We start from the raw sequence: 16,444 nt of genomic DNA, 5'->3' as shown, positions 1-16,444 counted from the left end.
AGAAATTAGTAATGATGATGATGATAGCTAATATTTACTGAGTGCTTAGTGATGAAACAGAGGCTTTGCATACATTAATCCACATGATTGTGAAAATAGGTGTTAATATTATTGTTCCCATTTTATAGATGAGGAAATTGATGATCAGAGAGGATAAACAAATTGCTCCAGGTCACACTGCTCAAAAGTGGTGAAGCCAGGATTCAATATCTGATTTGTCTCATTATTCTCTGAGTCCGCAGGACTTGGCTGTCTGTTCACAGCTTATTCAATAGTTATTTACTAGGCTCCAGACACTATAAGGGTCGGTCAAGTTTAATATTTGTTGGATAAATTAATCAGTCAATAAGTGGATTAAGTATTTGATTTCAGAGCCTAGAAATGTAACTAGAACATCCATCTTTCGAAGTGTTACTTCTTTATATCCCTGCTCTTTGCCTTAGAAGAGAAGTCAACAAAGGCTCTCAGTAGAAAGCCCCAGACTGGGTATGCTAAATGATTTTTTTTTTTTTTTCTGAGATGGAGTCTCACTCTGTCACCCAGGCTAGAGTGCAGTGGTGTGATCTTGGCTCACTGCAACCTCCGCCTCCTGGGTTCAAGTGATTCTCCTGCCCTAGCCTCCTGAGTAGCTGGGATTTCAGGCGGGTGCCACCATGCCAGGCTAATTTTTTTTTTTTTAAGTAGAGACGGGGTTTCACCATATTGGTCAGGCTGGTCTTGAACTCCTGACCTCAGGTGATCCACCCACCTCAGCCTCCCAAAGTGCTGGGATTACAGGCGTGAGCCACCACACCAGGCCGGGCTATGCTAAATGATTTTTAATAGTGACTCAGTGGCCGGGTGGGGTGGTGCGTACCTGGAGTCCCAGCTCCCCTGGAGGCTGAGGCAGGAGGATGGCTGGAGCTCAAGAGTTTGACCAACACAGTGAGACCCCCATTTCTAAAAATATTTTAAAAATAAAATGATAATAGTACAATTTCTCTAATAAGAGTAGAACCCTGAAATGTTCAGGAGAGTAAAAAGTTATTCTTTAGACAGCACCATGAGTAAGGGCAATAAATGTTTCCCACTTTGAAGTTGTAAAAAAGCTCACGGTACAACTCAGCCCCTTATTTGGTTTGACTATTAACCTCTTTATGCATATTTTTTCTTGTGCAAATAGATCTCTCCGAGCATCTGGATCTCTGCCACTGCTGTGGTCCTAGGTGAAGAGTTTATATTAAATATGTAGATGTCAAAAGGACAGGGCATCTCACCATCTCAGAGGTAATTTGAGGAGGTGAGGTGCTTCTTTTCTACACCAAACTACTCAGTTAGTTTGCCCTCATTCTGTATGCCACTAGGTTGAATTGTTATCAAATTAATTTAAGGTCTTTCCCATGCTCCTGCCTGTAACATCGATATCTGAATAATGATGGCATTCCAAACTAGTAGTGATCAGGGCCAGCTTCCTGGGTATGAAACCTGTACAGTCTCATAGAACTCATGCTTTAATGCTCTGCTGTTGCAGTCTTCAAATTCTTAGGAAGTTATGCATTTTCATTTTGTACTGGGTCCCGTAAATTATATAGGCAGTCCCACTAAAGGCCTATGTCTCCTGGTAGCTCAGGGACTGAGCATTCTTGTCCATTTGTTGCTTATTCAACCCTGTTCAGATCGGTGAGGCAGCAGATATCTTTATTACACAGGCTTTCAAAGAGGCATATGGATTTTTATTATCCCTCTGCTCTGACTTCCATTACCTTTATCACCACAGCACAATTTTCTAAGGTCCTTAAACTGCCTAAATTTGAGTAGGGAGTCTTACACAACAGAAGAAAGCACAAATATTGCCTTTTGGAAGATGCCTTCACAACAGACCTTCTTGTGTCTGAAATTAAGACTCCTTCCTGTCATTTTCCCCTAAACTCACAGGTCATCTGCAGTCAAGAGATCTACAGAAAGGCTATCAAATATGTCTTTAGCCCCTCTTCCATCAGCAGGAGCAGTAACAACAGCTGCTCTTGAATGAGCTTTTCTGGTGGAAGAAGCCTCTGAGCTCAGAGTAACACCAGATATCTTTGGTTTTAATGTTAATACAACAATTTTCCCCACTTTCATCTTGATGATCTGCAGTCTATTCTCAGCACGGCAGCCAGAGTAAGACTTTTACATGGAAGTCAGATTTTATCACTCCTTTCTCAAAGCCTTCCTATGGCTTCTCATTCCACCTAGTTCTAGAACATGTAGGCATTTCCTAATTTAGGACCGGACTCTCCTCTACTTGGAAAACTTGCTCCAAGTATATGCAAGATTCACTCTCTCATCTTCTTCAATTTTGCTCAAATGTTATCCTTCCAGTGAGGCTACTCTGACACTTTACCTAAAATTACAAGGGAACCACCCTTCTGTGGCCCCCTCCAGAATTCCCTATCCCCTAACTTGCTCTGATTCTTGTCTCCATAGACTTATCTTCTTTTTTTTTTTTTTGAGACGGAGTCTCTCTCTGTCACCCAAGCTGGAGTGTGGTGGCACGATCTTGGCTCACTGCAACCTCCGCCTCCCGGGTTCACACCATTCTCCTGCCTTAGCCTCCCGAGTAGCTGGGACTATAGGCGCCCACCACCGCGCCCGGCTAATTTTATATATATATATATATATTTTTAGTAGAGACGGGGTTTCACCGTGTTAGCCATGATGGTCTCGATCTCCTGACCTTGTGATCCACCCGCCTTGGCCTCCCAAAGTGCTGGGATGACAGGCGTGAACTACCGCGCCCGTCCGACTTATCTTCTCATATATTGTAATGCAAAATATATTAACGCTAAAGAGACTCTCTGAAGTCATAAACCATATAGTAATTTACTTATGGTTAATGCTTACTAGAATGTATTTTCTATAAAATCTGATATCTTCGTGCATTTTTTAAAAGAAGATAGTTCAAGTGTCTAGAAGACAGCCTGGTACCTAGTAGATACCTATAAACACTTGTTCAATAAGTTAATTATTTGATCTGAGAACAAGCACACTTTCTGCATTACAAAGGGACTGAAGACATTGTCCTCCATGGCTGCACACATTCATTCCACATTTATACCAACTACATGCCAGGCTCTGTGCTAGTGAATTTCACATACTGAGAGGTAAGGGTAATGGATTCCCTGCAGGGTGGCCTTCCAGAGAAGGAACTGGTTCTAATAGAGCCCCAGCCTAGCACTTGAGGCAATAAATTTTGTAAGAGAGCTGAGGTGGCAGATCAGGACTGGAGGTTGCAGATTTCCTTGATTTTGCTATAATCACATAATTTGGAGCCCAGCCCCCATGCTACAGTAAGGCCTGGTGCTTCCCCAGTGCAGCCTTAAAGTTCCATGGCTCAAGACTGGGTTCTCTTTCTTAGGGTCTCACATTGGCCATGCTAGGTTGCTGTGTGCTGTTTCAGAATGTAGGGTGAGTGCTGCCTCTGGGGAAACCACACACCTGCTCTTTCTCTTGTCTTTATGAATTTTCTCTAGTAAACACTGTTCTAGAAGATCTGGTGTGTGTGCTGTTTACTTTACATATACACCATCTCATTTTAAATGTCATAAAAACTTTAGAAAGTGGTTATTATTTTTTCCATATTTTTTTGATGAGAAAAGTGAGGCTTAAATACATTATGAAACTTGCCTAAGGGCATAGAGCTCACAGTAGAAGAGTTTGAATACTCAGGAATTCTTTCTGATAACCAAATCTGGTGTTCACACTGTTGTGTTATTAGAATCTCTGAGTCTAAATGGAGTGGACTAACAGTTTCAAATATGATAATTTCCTTCTTTAAAATTCATTTTTTCCCCTGTAAATCTCTTGCCACAAATTTTGAGGATGAATCTTATTGCTCCAGTAAAGGGAGATTGTGAAAGGATCCAGTGAGATCAAAGGGTCAAATTATTGATTTTGTATTCAAAATGGACTTAAAAAGTCTTAGGAGGAAAAAATATCCTGAAATAAGGCATTTTTTTGAGTTGCAAGAGACAGGTACTTGGTAATTTTTCTTTTTGATAATTTATATGTCAAGAGCAGAGCCTGAGGTTTCAGGGCAGTTTTAAAAAATCACAAATCCTATCTAAAACCCTGAGCTAGGAATGCGGACAATGGAAACCACAAGATAGGTTGACTGTCCGCTGCAAAGAGAGCTTTTTGCCTGGTTCCCATCTGGAGCTCTGAGAAGATCTAGCTTTGTGAAATGTTCTACTGCAACATATTGCAGACACAGTAGAGTAGAAAGGACACTATGGTCTTTTAAAATGTTGTCTTCTAAAAATACCTTCTAAAAATATTTGCTTGCTTGAGGGAGCTCATGGAAAGTAGCTGGAAACTGAGAACCATGTCCCTGACACAGGGACCTCATTGAAGAAGGTATATAGTGCATAGACTAAGTGAAGGATGTACTTGAGTCTCCGAGGATCAACAAGTCCAGCAGGAAAGGGGATGGGAGGCCAGGTAGCTGGGAGAGATGGAAGAACATGCATACTGAGTCTTAGATAAATTCCTAGAAGGTGCACCTCATATTTACACTTAGATTTCATAATTCAGTAAAAATAAAAAATGTTAACTTTTTTGATATTAAGAAACAACTTCTAGATAAACCTTGAAGCAGACACACTATTAAAAGAAAAAATAACCAGCTGTGTTAAAAGCAATGAAAAAAGAGACTAGTTCACATCAAAACAGATGAGACAGGGTGGAAGAAATACTCAAAGAATTATTTGTCTTAAATGCCATTTCTGGGACATGAATAGCACAACTGAGAAAAATGTCTCCTTTCCTAATCTCTGTGGTAAGTGGACTTGGCAACTGGTGTATCTGATTAGGATGGATCCAAGTATTTTATGGAACTTCTTGTTAGTAGAAGCTCTGGTCATGGACAGCAAGTGCCGGAAGCTTGGAGTCACCTGAGACATTCCTAAAGGTCCTACTGGGGGAAAACATATTTGGCTTAGCATGCTCTAATGTATTGGAGATTGTCACCTTCGATAGTATTTTCTTACTACACCATCACACCCTTAAAGTCAACTGGTTCAATTTTGAATGTCTGTATTGTTTCTTCGAGAATAAGGTTTAATGATATATTTTCAGTGACAGTAAGTGATTCTAGGAAAAGAAAGCAAAAAATCTATATACTCATAAGTTGGGAAGGAGTCAGGAAAATTGGGAAGGAGAAGTGGAAAGAACTTAGTTTTTTATGTTCTAAAGATCAAATTAATGAAATCCTCAGTTCTATTCATTTGTTTTAGGGTTTGTTTATATTCTTGATCTGAAGAAGATATAAAAGTTCATCTTCAGAATCCAAGAGTTCTCTCTAAGAAGGAAGAGATTTGGGGACTTAAGTCAATATTGTTCCTTCAGTTAATTAGATTGGATTGAACAATATTTTTTTCCCCGTCATGAATAGTTTCCTGGTGAAAATGTTTTCAGCATGGAAATGAGTGTGTGAAGACATGCTGTTAAATGCTCCAGAAAGGATATAGAAAATCTGATGTAACATCCTGTTTTCTGATTATGTAACAACACAACAAATAAGATCATCAATGCAAAATAAAAATTTCCCGACAATCAGTCATTGACAAGGAAACTTGCTTTGGTAACAGATCAAGAAACTTGAAATTTAAGATACGTTGTGAGTATTTATAAATACAAGGTCAAAGTTTTTTCAGCCTACTCTGTCAGAGTGAAACCTCTGCTTGACTCAAAGGATGATGGAACTAGTCGGTTTTTCATGTCAAATTTTATTTTATCTAAATACGGAAGTTATTATAGTCCCTGCTGGAGGCTCTGAGTGGTAGCAGGAGCTTTTGGTCTGTACACTGCTGTGGCTGACTTTTCATAATCTGCCAACAAATTGCTGCAGAAGCTGATTCGCTTGTAAAGACTCTAGGGGCAATTTAGAGAAATAAGTGTTTTTAGTTTTTAAATGTTTTTAAAGGTGCTGTTGCTTAGGAAGGTACAAATGTTGAAATGTTAAGGTCAGCTTTTACATTGTAATGGTAATTTCTGAAATATTGTCACTTAAAAGCCTGACTGAATCAAGTTTATTATTTTCCTAGAAGTCTGGGATGAAAATATGATGCAATTGATATCTGAAGGTACTGATTATCTCATTAGTGGGACAGGAAAACTTATTTTCAATTATTTTTGTATAACATTCAAATTGGGGATTTCTTATAAGACAATTTTCCTGAAAGTGAAATTCATTTTATCTAGTCTGCAATGGGCAAATAAAGTTTAATATAAATTCTACCATGTAGCAAAACAATTACAAAAAAAAATGGAGGGAGGAGAAGAGGAAACTGGCAAATAATACAAGAAAAAATATAATATTCTTCTGGTTGGCAAGGACCCTCAGATAGTTTTCGAGTAAATCCAGCCAAAGGATACATTTCCCAGAGACTCTCCACACATTGAGATAAACAGGTACTTAGATCACACGGATATTATCTGACTACTGTAGTCAGTATTTTAGCAGGAAACACTAGGTAAGGAACCTCACATAGACCATTCTTTTATAAAGCATTTATTCTTTCTTTCATTGGTAAATGCCATATGTTACATTCATATATAAAACAAATAATGATTCCATATTTCATAGGAATTATTTGTGACAGTTGCACTACATGTAAAATTATTCCATAATGGAAGACTAACAAATTCTGACTGTGAGGCAGTAAAGAATGAGACCTCATATTCTCAGGAAATACATGGTTAGGAATCTTCCCTCAGCCTGAATACATTTTCCTTTTAAAAAATATTCCACAGTTAAGAAGATAAAACAGCATCTTTTTTCACCCATCTCAGAATTTTCCTTGCAGAAAGAAATGCACAGACAGTGAACGAAGCCTCACAGTCATAGTTCCTGCAGGAGGAGTGGGCCCACCAGCTGCAGGTTTGGGTACAGACTGGTGGCGTCAGGGGAGCACTGTGTGTCCACGGCACAGAAGTAGGTGGCAGAGAGGTCATGCACGGCAGCTGTGATGTGGAGGGTGCTGAGACGGGCTTTGGTATCAAGTGAGGCCATTAATCGTCCCTCCTGCTTCACTGCTCCATTTGATAGCAACACAAACAGAGATTCCAGACTTTTCCCAGGATCCTGCCTGTACCAATACAGTCTGTCTGAAGTGGTTGAATAATTGCAGTAGATGGTATAGTTTTTTCCCTCCTGCATGCTCAGGAACAGAGGGTTTTGTTCCACTTTCAGCTCTCCACTTAACCCTGTCCAAAGAGAACATTTCAGAAGGAAGCATTCACTGGTTACCCCAATAATCCTGTTCCTCCCGAGGGAACCCAAATGAGTCGCATTGAACCTTGTCTCTACCCCCAAACATTGTATGGACAATTCCTTTCCTCCCATGGCTCCCTTTTCAATGAACCCCCAGCTCACGGTCTAGTTGAAGCCACAGAATCATTGCTAGTAGCTTCTTCATTTTTTTTTTCTGTCCAGTTCACTGAAAACTCAGATTTAGGAGCCTTGAAAGTTGGCCAGGGCTATCCAAATATGGTAGTTTTTCTTTCTCTACAGAAACACGATTTCAAAAGATGTTCCAACCAATTAGAATCACATCCTGCAATTTACTCAGTCCCTCCCTTTCATAAAAAAAAAAGAAAAAGAAAAAAAAGAAATAAAAAGAAAAATTAAAAAAAAACAAAAGAATGGGGGTGGGTTTGGACAGAAGTTATGAATGGAAACAGTGCCCTCTTCAGGATATTTAGAGAAATTCCTGAGAAAGTAATTCGTAGAATTGATGCTTCTTGTAAGCCAGCAAGGTGTTCCTAAAAATTTCCTAGTGAATTAACTCTTTAACGTCTCATTGATGTTACAAGTGACAGAAATGTAACTCAAATGTGCTTAGGCAAGAAGAGAAATGCACTGACTCCAATAACCTTGGCAAGAGCAGAAGTGTATCTGGACTTCAGGCATCCAGGGTGCCAGGGAACTTAATCCTTTAAGACTTTTCCTTTCATTCGTGTCTTAGTTTCATTCCTCAGACCAGATTCCACCACAAAGCAGGAGGCATGATTGTAAACATTTTTTGGTTGGGATTCATCTCACAGTGTAGCCACCAAAGAAATACTGAGGATCCTTTCTGATCCCAGATTTAAAAATATTGAGGTAAGGCTTTGATTGCTTCAGTCTGAGCCAGGTTCCCATCCAGGGGGGCAATTTGTGACTAGAGTGGTGTATACATAACATGATTGGTTCAGCTGGGTCAGGCATCCACCTCTGGGTGGATTCATCAGCCCATTCATAAGTAAGATAGCAGTCTCCATTCATAACACATGGTTAGAATTTATATTTTACCAGGAATGAGTTGCCATTCTAAGTGAACAAAATGGTAGATGCCTACCACAGTTGTGTTCTCTCAACTCTGTGGACCATTGATGGAGGGAGAGTGGGAGGGAAGGAAGGCTTTTATTTCTTTAGGACTCCTCTAACATGAGTAGCTACTCCTGTGAACTGGGTTAGTCTATGACTCACCTTGACCATCTGCCCATGGTGTACCTTTTCTGTACCATGTTGAACACATCACATTTTCTTCAGTTCCTCCAACACTTCTTATACAAAGTTGTGGAAGAAAGGACAAAAGATGATAATAATAACTAACATGTATTGAGCTGTACTGTATGCCAGGCACTATGCTAAGTGAATGCATAATCTCATTTAATTCTCACAAGATCTATATTTTACAGAAGAATAAACAGGCTTACAGAGGTTAAACAATAAGTTTATGATCATGCAGCTGGAAAGTGGGATTCAACCGACCTGTCTACTGAGCTAATGCTCAATCCATGCTTGTCTGTGTGTATGTAACAGATTTCTGTTAGGATTTGGGGGCTGCGGGTTGGGGGCAGTAATTTTTGCCCATTATACTCACTGCAATCAATGTGGAACAGCTTTCTTTTTTTCCCTTCAACTTTTATTTTAGATTCAGGGGGTAAAAAAGTGCAGGTTTGTTATCTGGGTATATTGCATGATGCTGACAATTGGGGCACAAATGATCCCATCACCCAGATAGTGAGTGATATGGTTTGGCTGTGTCCCCACCCAAATATCTTGAATTGTAGCTCCTATAATTCCCATGTGTTGTGGGAGAGACCCAGTAAGAGATAATTGAATCATAGGGGCAGCTTCCCCCATACTGTTCTCCTGGTAGTGAATAAGTCTTATGAGATTTGATGGTTTTATAAGAGGCTTCCACTTTCCCTTGGCTCTCATTTCTCTCTTGCCTGCCACCATTTAAGATGTGTCTTTTGCCTTCTGCCATGATTGTGAAGCCTTCCCAGCCACTTGGAACTGTTAGTCTACTAAACCTCTTTTTCTTTATAAATTACCCAGTCTTGGCATGTTTTTATCAGCAGCATGAAAAGGGACTAATACAGCGACCATAGCGCCTGAAAGTTAGTTTCTCAGCCCTTGCTCCACTCCCTTCCTTCTTCCTCTAGTTGTCCCCAGTTTCTATTGTTGCCATGTTTATGACCATGTTTACCCAATATTTAGCTCCCACTTCTAAGTGAGAACACAGGGTATTTGTTTTTCTGTCCCTGCATTAATTTGCTTAGGATAATGGCCTCCAGCTGCATTCACTCTGCTGCAAAGGACATGGTTTTGTTCTTTTTTATGACTACATAGTATGACATGGTGTACATGTACCACATTTTTAAAATCCAATTCACCATCGCTGGGCACCTAAGTTGATTCCATTTCTTTGCTATTGTAGATAGTGCTGCAATAAACATGGGAGTATATGTGTCTTTTGGGGGTAGAACTATTTGATTTCTTTTGGATATCTACCCCATAATGGGATTGCTGGGTTGAATAGTAGTTGTGTTTTAAGTTCTTTGCGAGATCTCCAAACTACTTTTCACAGTGGCTGAACTAATTTACCTTCCCATCAACAGTGTGTAAGTTTTCCCTTCTTTCCACAGCCTTGAAAGCATCTGTTGTTTTTTGACTTTTTAATAGTAGCCATTCTGACTGGTGTGAGATGATATCTCATCGTGGTTTTGATTTGCAGTTCTCTGTTGATTAGTGATGTGGAGCATTTTTTCATATGTTGGTTGGCCGCTTGCGTGTATTCTTTTGAGAAATGTCTGTTCAGGTCTTTTGCCCATTTTTAAATGGAGTTATTTGTTTTTTGCTTGTTCAATTGTTTAGGTTCCTTACATATTCTGGATAATAGATCTTTGTGGGACAGCTTTCTACATTAATTTCTAGACCTGTTAAATCCTAAACTAAATTCTCTATTGTCTTAAGCAAGGTCCCACTGAAATCTCTTTTCCTGCATGAACTCTGCATAACTGATAAAACCATCCAACATTGCTTTTTGCCTTTAACAACACTTGAGAAAATGAAAGACATTAAGAAATAAAAGACATTACATTCAAATGTACCCAGCAAGTACTCACCAAGTATCAAGTAATGTGATAAATGATGAGGTGGGTGGGGGTATTAAATAATTCCACAGTATCTAGTCTTGGTTTTAATGGAGTTGTAAGATAGTTAGAAAGATTAAAATAATGCACATAGAGTTAAAGTTAACAGTGCAAAGCAGTACACTGCTTTGTACAGTAGCATAGCATTGGGTGCATTTTTTTTGTGTATGCTGTACGTGAGGTCAAAAGAGAGGGAAATTATGAAAGGCTATGGGAATTTAGTACAATCTCTTTGGAGGAGCTAAGGCCTAAAAAACACATAATGTTTAGATAGAGAGAGAGAGAGCACGCACTAAAGGCTATTTCAGGAAATATAGAGAGGTAGGAGTGAGGATGACATGTCTTTGAGAAAGTGTGAAGAATGGTCCAGCTAACAGAGAAAACAGAGTCTGGGTAATAGTGTCTGGGAATGAGGATAAATTGGTGAAATGAGGAGGAGATAATGGAAGTCACTGAAAGCTACTTCAAAGGGCTTATATTCATGAGAAAATAGAAACTGTTGTAAGATTGTGAATAGTGGAGGGATATGATGAAAAGATATCTTAAAAAGAAAGGTGTGGCAGTGGTGCAGAGGGTCAGAGGGTGGTTGGGAGCTGGTAGGATAGGGGAGAAGAGCAAGAAAGAGACTTCAATAATGAAGAGGAAGGAGGACACCCCTTTCAACTTGGTGGGAACAATCTAAGGACTTGAATAAGGTGGTAGTCATGGGAATTCTAAACAAAATATACATTCAATAGCACTTCAAAGGAAAAACTGACAAGCATTGGTACCTGACTATAAACTCAAAAGGTTCAAGCCTGAATAAGGAAATGTTGTGGTGCCATTTACAGAAACTGGGAAATTGGAGAAGCATCTGAGTACAAAAAGTGTTTTGAAATTGAGATGATAACGAGCTATTATGTGAAAATGCCCGGGTAAGAGTTGGAGGAAAGGACAAGATCTCAGCTGAATGGAAGGTGTTTGACACTTAGCAGAAACTCAGTAAAGACATCTATCATTATTATGCATTATCACAGGTACCACATAGTATTATAATCAGTGTGCACATCTGTCTGTTTCTCGCACTAGACTATGAACTCCTTGAAAGCAGGGAATTTCTCATAGTCATTTTTGATTTCCCAGTGTGTAGTGCAATGATTGGCATATAGTAGGAATGCAATATGTTTTTTTCTTTAATGATGAAAACATAGGAGAGTCGAGACATAGTAGTTGGTATATGTGTAGCATTTATTTGCTGCGTATGTGAAGAAGGAAGAAGAGGCAGAATTCAGGATTTTTTTCTTTACAATTTGATGTTGACTTTGGAATTGTAAAATAGTATAAATTTTTAGAAAGTAGAGAAGTTTAAATTAAAAAGTTATATATTTCTAAACACCACCAATTTCATCAAGATCTATGTATACAAGGCATTAACCAGTGATTTGAAAAATTGCTTTTTTTTGTGGGGTTATAGCACCTTTCGCGTTCTTAACATTGCACATTTGTGTTTTCTTTTTTATTATCAGTTTTCCTAGAAATATTGCCTTTATTTGTACATTCTAATTATTGCTTTGCATTTAAATTAATTCCTGCTTTTATCATTAAACTTTCCCCTTCTCTGTTTTGGCTTATTTTGCTCATTTCTTTTTTATTTCTTGAATTGCCAGATTTGGCTCCTTTGTTTTACTTTTTATTAATAGATGGATGCATTTTCTTGTGAATATTGCTTTGAACAAATATATAGTTTTTTTATGTAGTACCATTATTAGGGTTCATTTTTAGTGACGTGTAATTTTAACTCTTAGTTCTTTGACCTGAAAATGTTTTAGAATATTATAAGTGGTTCTCTTTCTACTCATTTATTTGCTATCTTTTAATTATTAGTTTCTAGCTTTATTGCATTAGGTTCAGACAATGTGGCTTATATGATTCCCATTTTTTGAGTCATATTATATGCTCATTTTTTTGTAAATATTCTGTAGCTATATGTTTAATATAAAGTTTTTTCCATCATCCTCTCTCTCTTTCTCTCTCTGAGAAAAAGATATTAAGGTGTCCCATAATGAATATGTTATCAAGTTATTTTTATATTTCCTACAAATTTTGCTTTATATTTTTCTGACACAGTTTGTTTGTTGTTTAGAGAAGGCGACACTAATACTCATTCAATGATTGCTGCTAAGTGTGAAGGATGTTCTGTCAGGAGATGGACAGGGTGCTGTAGGAGGTTTAGCAGGCGGTTACATCCAAGTCAAGACGGCTAGAAAAGGCCTCCCGAAATAAGGAACATTTAAGCCATAGTTGACACCTTTTAGGATTTGAAAGCAGACAGTATCAATCTGGGTTCTGGTAGGAAACTTATGGCATACTGAAATTGTGTAATTTGAGAAACATGACACTAGTTATAAAAATACAAGCAGTGAGCAGGGAACATATAAGAGATAGTGCTACAACCTGGGACTAGCATCACTCCAGGCCTTGAATGGAAAGGAGGGAGTGATTACCAAAACCTGGAGAAAGACAGGCTATTTGGAGAGGCCACCGTAAGGAGCTGATTGTGGGTTAATGTCAGTATGTGGGAAGGGAGGAAGTTGGGGGAATATATAGCCTGACCTTACTTTCCTCATTTTTTCTGTTCTCTGTGGGTACTGCCCTTGGGCAAAAACCTACTGGAAACCAAAAGACAAGATAGCTTATTGGTATAATCCCTATAGGTCAGTCACCTGGGGCACAAAGCAGGGTGTGGAAGGATGGAGAGAGGACCTGGAAGCAAACAGGAGATATTAAGCACAGAGTGCAAGATGGGTGAAGAATAAAGATGAAAGATGAAACCAGAGCAATAAGCTAGAGAAAGAAAGGCTTTGTGAGCCTTAGTAATGATTTGGGATTCCATCCTTTGGGAAACTGGAAGTCACTGATTAGTTTTAAGCAAGAGAGCAAACAGATTGCACTTGTATTTTTAAATAATAACTCTGGCTAGACTGAAGAGAACATGTTGGAGGCACTGATGGCTTCGTTTACTAGGATGGGGACACAGAGAAGGTGGACCTATGGGGTGATGAGATAGGGAGCCCAATAGTGTGTCTGTGCCAAGGAGAGTCTTGGCTAGAGATACAGGTTTGTCAGTCTAGAGCAGTTAAATGGTATTCGAGGCTCAGGAGCCAGTAAGATTGCCTAGAATCTGTGGATAACATAGAAGAGGGCTTAGGAACCCCATAATTCAAGAAATTGGCAGAGAAGCTATAGCCTTCAAAGGCAGGAGAAAGTGGGATTAGCTAGGAAGGAAAGAGGAAAACATGGAGAATTTTGAGAAGTCATGCTCTTGAATTGGCTAGTGAACTCTCTGGTATCTCCTAGATGAGTCATGATAAACTTCTGTAGTAAGGGTATCAGGATAAGATCAATGAGGGCATTTTAAGTAAGAGACAATTTTACACTGACGTTTGATAGAATCTCTTCATCTCCAGCAGTCACTCTGGCCTAGAAAACTGAAACCCCTCAGTGAAGCTGTGGATCAGAGAGAATTTGCTTTATGCAAGATCTCCATGTCCACAGATTATGTTTTTGTAAAGCATCTGTTCAAAGGCAGAATGTGCCAGGTGGCTGTGGAGAAAGATATAAATTAGTCCATGGAATTTGAAACTCTTAACATGAATTGATCATCTACCTTCCTTTGCCTTCATGGCTATGTTCGTACTACTGAAAAATAATTAAGAGTGTTTCAGGACATCTGGTCCATTAGATTTCTTCTGAAAAGAAAATCTTTACATGTTAAGACATCAAATTAAATAAATAATAGCCAGCTATGTTTTTGCCTAATTCAGATGTATATGAAACCAGGATTTTATAGTTTAGGTATCAGGAAGTAGTTTTCTGATTTAGTGCCAGGATGGCCTTAAATGTGCTAAAAAACAAAATACTAATACAAATAGGGAGTGAGCCTGGGTTCACATTTTGTTACTATTCTTAATCATTAACTAAAAAAAGCTAATTCCACAAATGTTTACAGGAAAAAGATACAACTATATAGATAGCAAAATAAAATGCTATTAGGGTTGACACGATAATCTGGGGTTAATTTTTTTTTCCAGGCTATGAACGCAAAACTCTTCCATTTCTGTAGGTTAACCTCCAACCCACAGGAATGTAAACTATGTGAGCCTTTTCTCAGTTATGGATTGCTAGGTAAATATGCTCTGACAACAAAGTTACGATCCCCAAGAATGCCAGATAATTGCTTACTTGAAAATGCTCTTGCAGATAGAGAAAAAAAAAGACTAGCAATCATCATTTTTCTTTTTTCCAGGATTGGGATAACTTTTTTTCACAATATTATTAATAAATGGCCATGACATTTAAACTGTCTTTCCCAAGATAAAGATATATGTTTAAATGACTTTGTGTCATGCAAGAACTCAATCTCCCATAATTTTCTAATTCATCAGGAGCTATTCTTTCAAGCCAGAAATGTCAAATAAGTTTTAGGAAATTTATCAGGTTTACTGAAACTCAAGGCTCTGTCATTAAAATCTCTTGCTGATTTTCCTCAAACCTCACCACTTCATGAAGTCTGGCTGAGAATGAAATCAGTAATGTGGAGAGCAATCTAATGCAGTGATTTTTCAAACTAGGCAACAGTTATGTATTTTAAGGGAATCAATTTCCAGATCTTCAACTTCTGTATGTAACCTTTCCTAAAAGTGATCTGTTCAAGAGCTTGACTGTGGTTCTTGTTTCCCGTCTCAAATTTCATAATTGCTCTTCCCCAACCTTATTCAAGACGGAATCTCCTTTTGCAGCATTGCCCTGCAGTTTAAACACCCCTGGAACATTAAACAAAGGGACAATTTATTGGTGTCAAGGAAGCCTCCTTTAATTAACCGTAAATATGACCCCAGTCACTTTCTTTTTTTTTTTTTTTTTTGAGACAGTGTCTCGCTCTGTCGCCCAGGCCAGAGTGCAGTGGCGCGATCATGGCTCACTGCAAGCTCCGCCTCCCAGGTTCACGCCGTTCTCCTGCCTCAGCTTCCCGAGTAGCTGGGAATACAGGCGCGTGCAACCACGCTCGACTAATTTTTTGTATTTTTAGTAGAGACGGGGTTTCACCGTGTTAGCCAGGATGGTCTCAATCGCCCGACCTCGTGATCCACCCGCCTTGGCCTCCCAAAGTGCTGGGATTACAGGCATGAGCCACTGCGCCGGGCCGACCCCAGTGATTTTCTTAAGAAATGCATTTCCAAAAAATTTTCGCCTGTAAGTTTAAAACTAAAATTGAAATATATTTTTGTTGTTTTAATAAAAGGTACATCAACAATAATTATATTTATAACTCAATCTAGAAAGATAATTTTTAGCAATTAGAGCAGTATGGTCAGAGAAAATTTAAAAGCAATTTCAATTTTTTACGTGATTTTGTTGCAGGCATTTTGGGTGATCAACAAAAGCCTTTAAACAAAAATATACTAAAATTAAGTTCTGCAGGAGAAGTTGAATGGAAATATGATTCCAAGGAAAGAAAAGAGCAATATAAGGTCTTCAATTGTCAATGAAGAGCTTGTTGTGAATTTTAACTGGGTGTTGATGGGTATCAAATCACTTTGGTATTAAGGTTTCACTGGATATGTTTAAAAGCTATTCTGAGTTTTATTTGAAAATGTCAATGTTTATATTACAGTGGAATTTACAACCTTTGTAGCTATTTAAACATTTAAACTAATAATAAAATATTTTAGAAGTCATCTTAAAAATGCATGAAGGTTTTACAGTTTTCCAATGTCTGAATACCACTAAGAGTTGGCCTACAAACATGAGCACACTTTGATGACAATGCAGGAATTACTGTCAATATATGTTTATGTTTAACCCCCTAGTCACTCTTTAAATCTGTGTCTCCTACAGCCTTTGGTGGAAAGTAATCAGTCCTGTTGAAATTCAGATAGCTTCTTCAATGTTTCCTCTTAGACCTGAATTTGAATGAACCAAGATGGAAGAAGGGACCTTTAGATCTGACATCACTCACCTT

General features: G+C 38.5%; 1 gene segment (V, D, J or C) and 1 further gene, besides 4 other annotated features; both read right to left on the bottom strand.

The window, feature by feature from the left end:
* Positions 1 to 16,444, bottom strand: part of TRA (T cell receptor alpha locus) — a 930,229-nt gene that overhangs the window by 240,643 nt on the left and 673,142 nt on the right.
* Positions 6,898 to 6,906: a recombination feature (nonamer).
* Positions 6,907 to 6,929: a recombination feature (spacer).
* Positions 6,937 to 7,436, bottom strand: TRAV39 (T cell receptor alpha variable 39). The segment is given in 2 exon segments: positions 6,937 to 7,224; positions 7,394 to 7,436. Coding segments are annotated over 2 exon segments (331 nt in total), but the record flags the coding sequence as incomplete, so codon positions are not given.
* Positions 7,214 to 7,224: a sequence feature (TRAV39 leader sequence).
* Positions 7,394 to 7,436: a sequence feature (TRAV39 leader sequence).

The sequence above is a fragment of the Homo sapiens genome, chromosome 14, assembly GCF_000001405.40.
Source record: "Homo sapiens chromosome 14, GRCh38.p14 Primary Assembly".
NCBI classification, from domain to species: Eukaryota; Metazoa; Chordata; class Mammalia; order Primates; family Hominidae; genus Homo; species Homo sapiens.
This window is presented reverse-complemented; position numbering and strand designations above follow the sequence as displayed.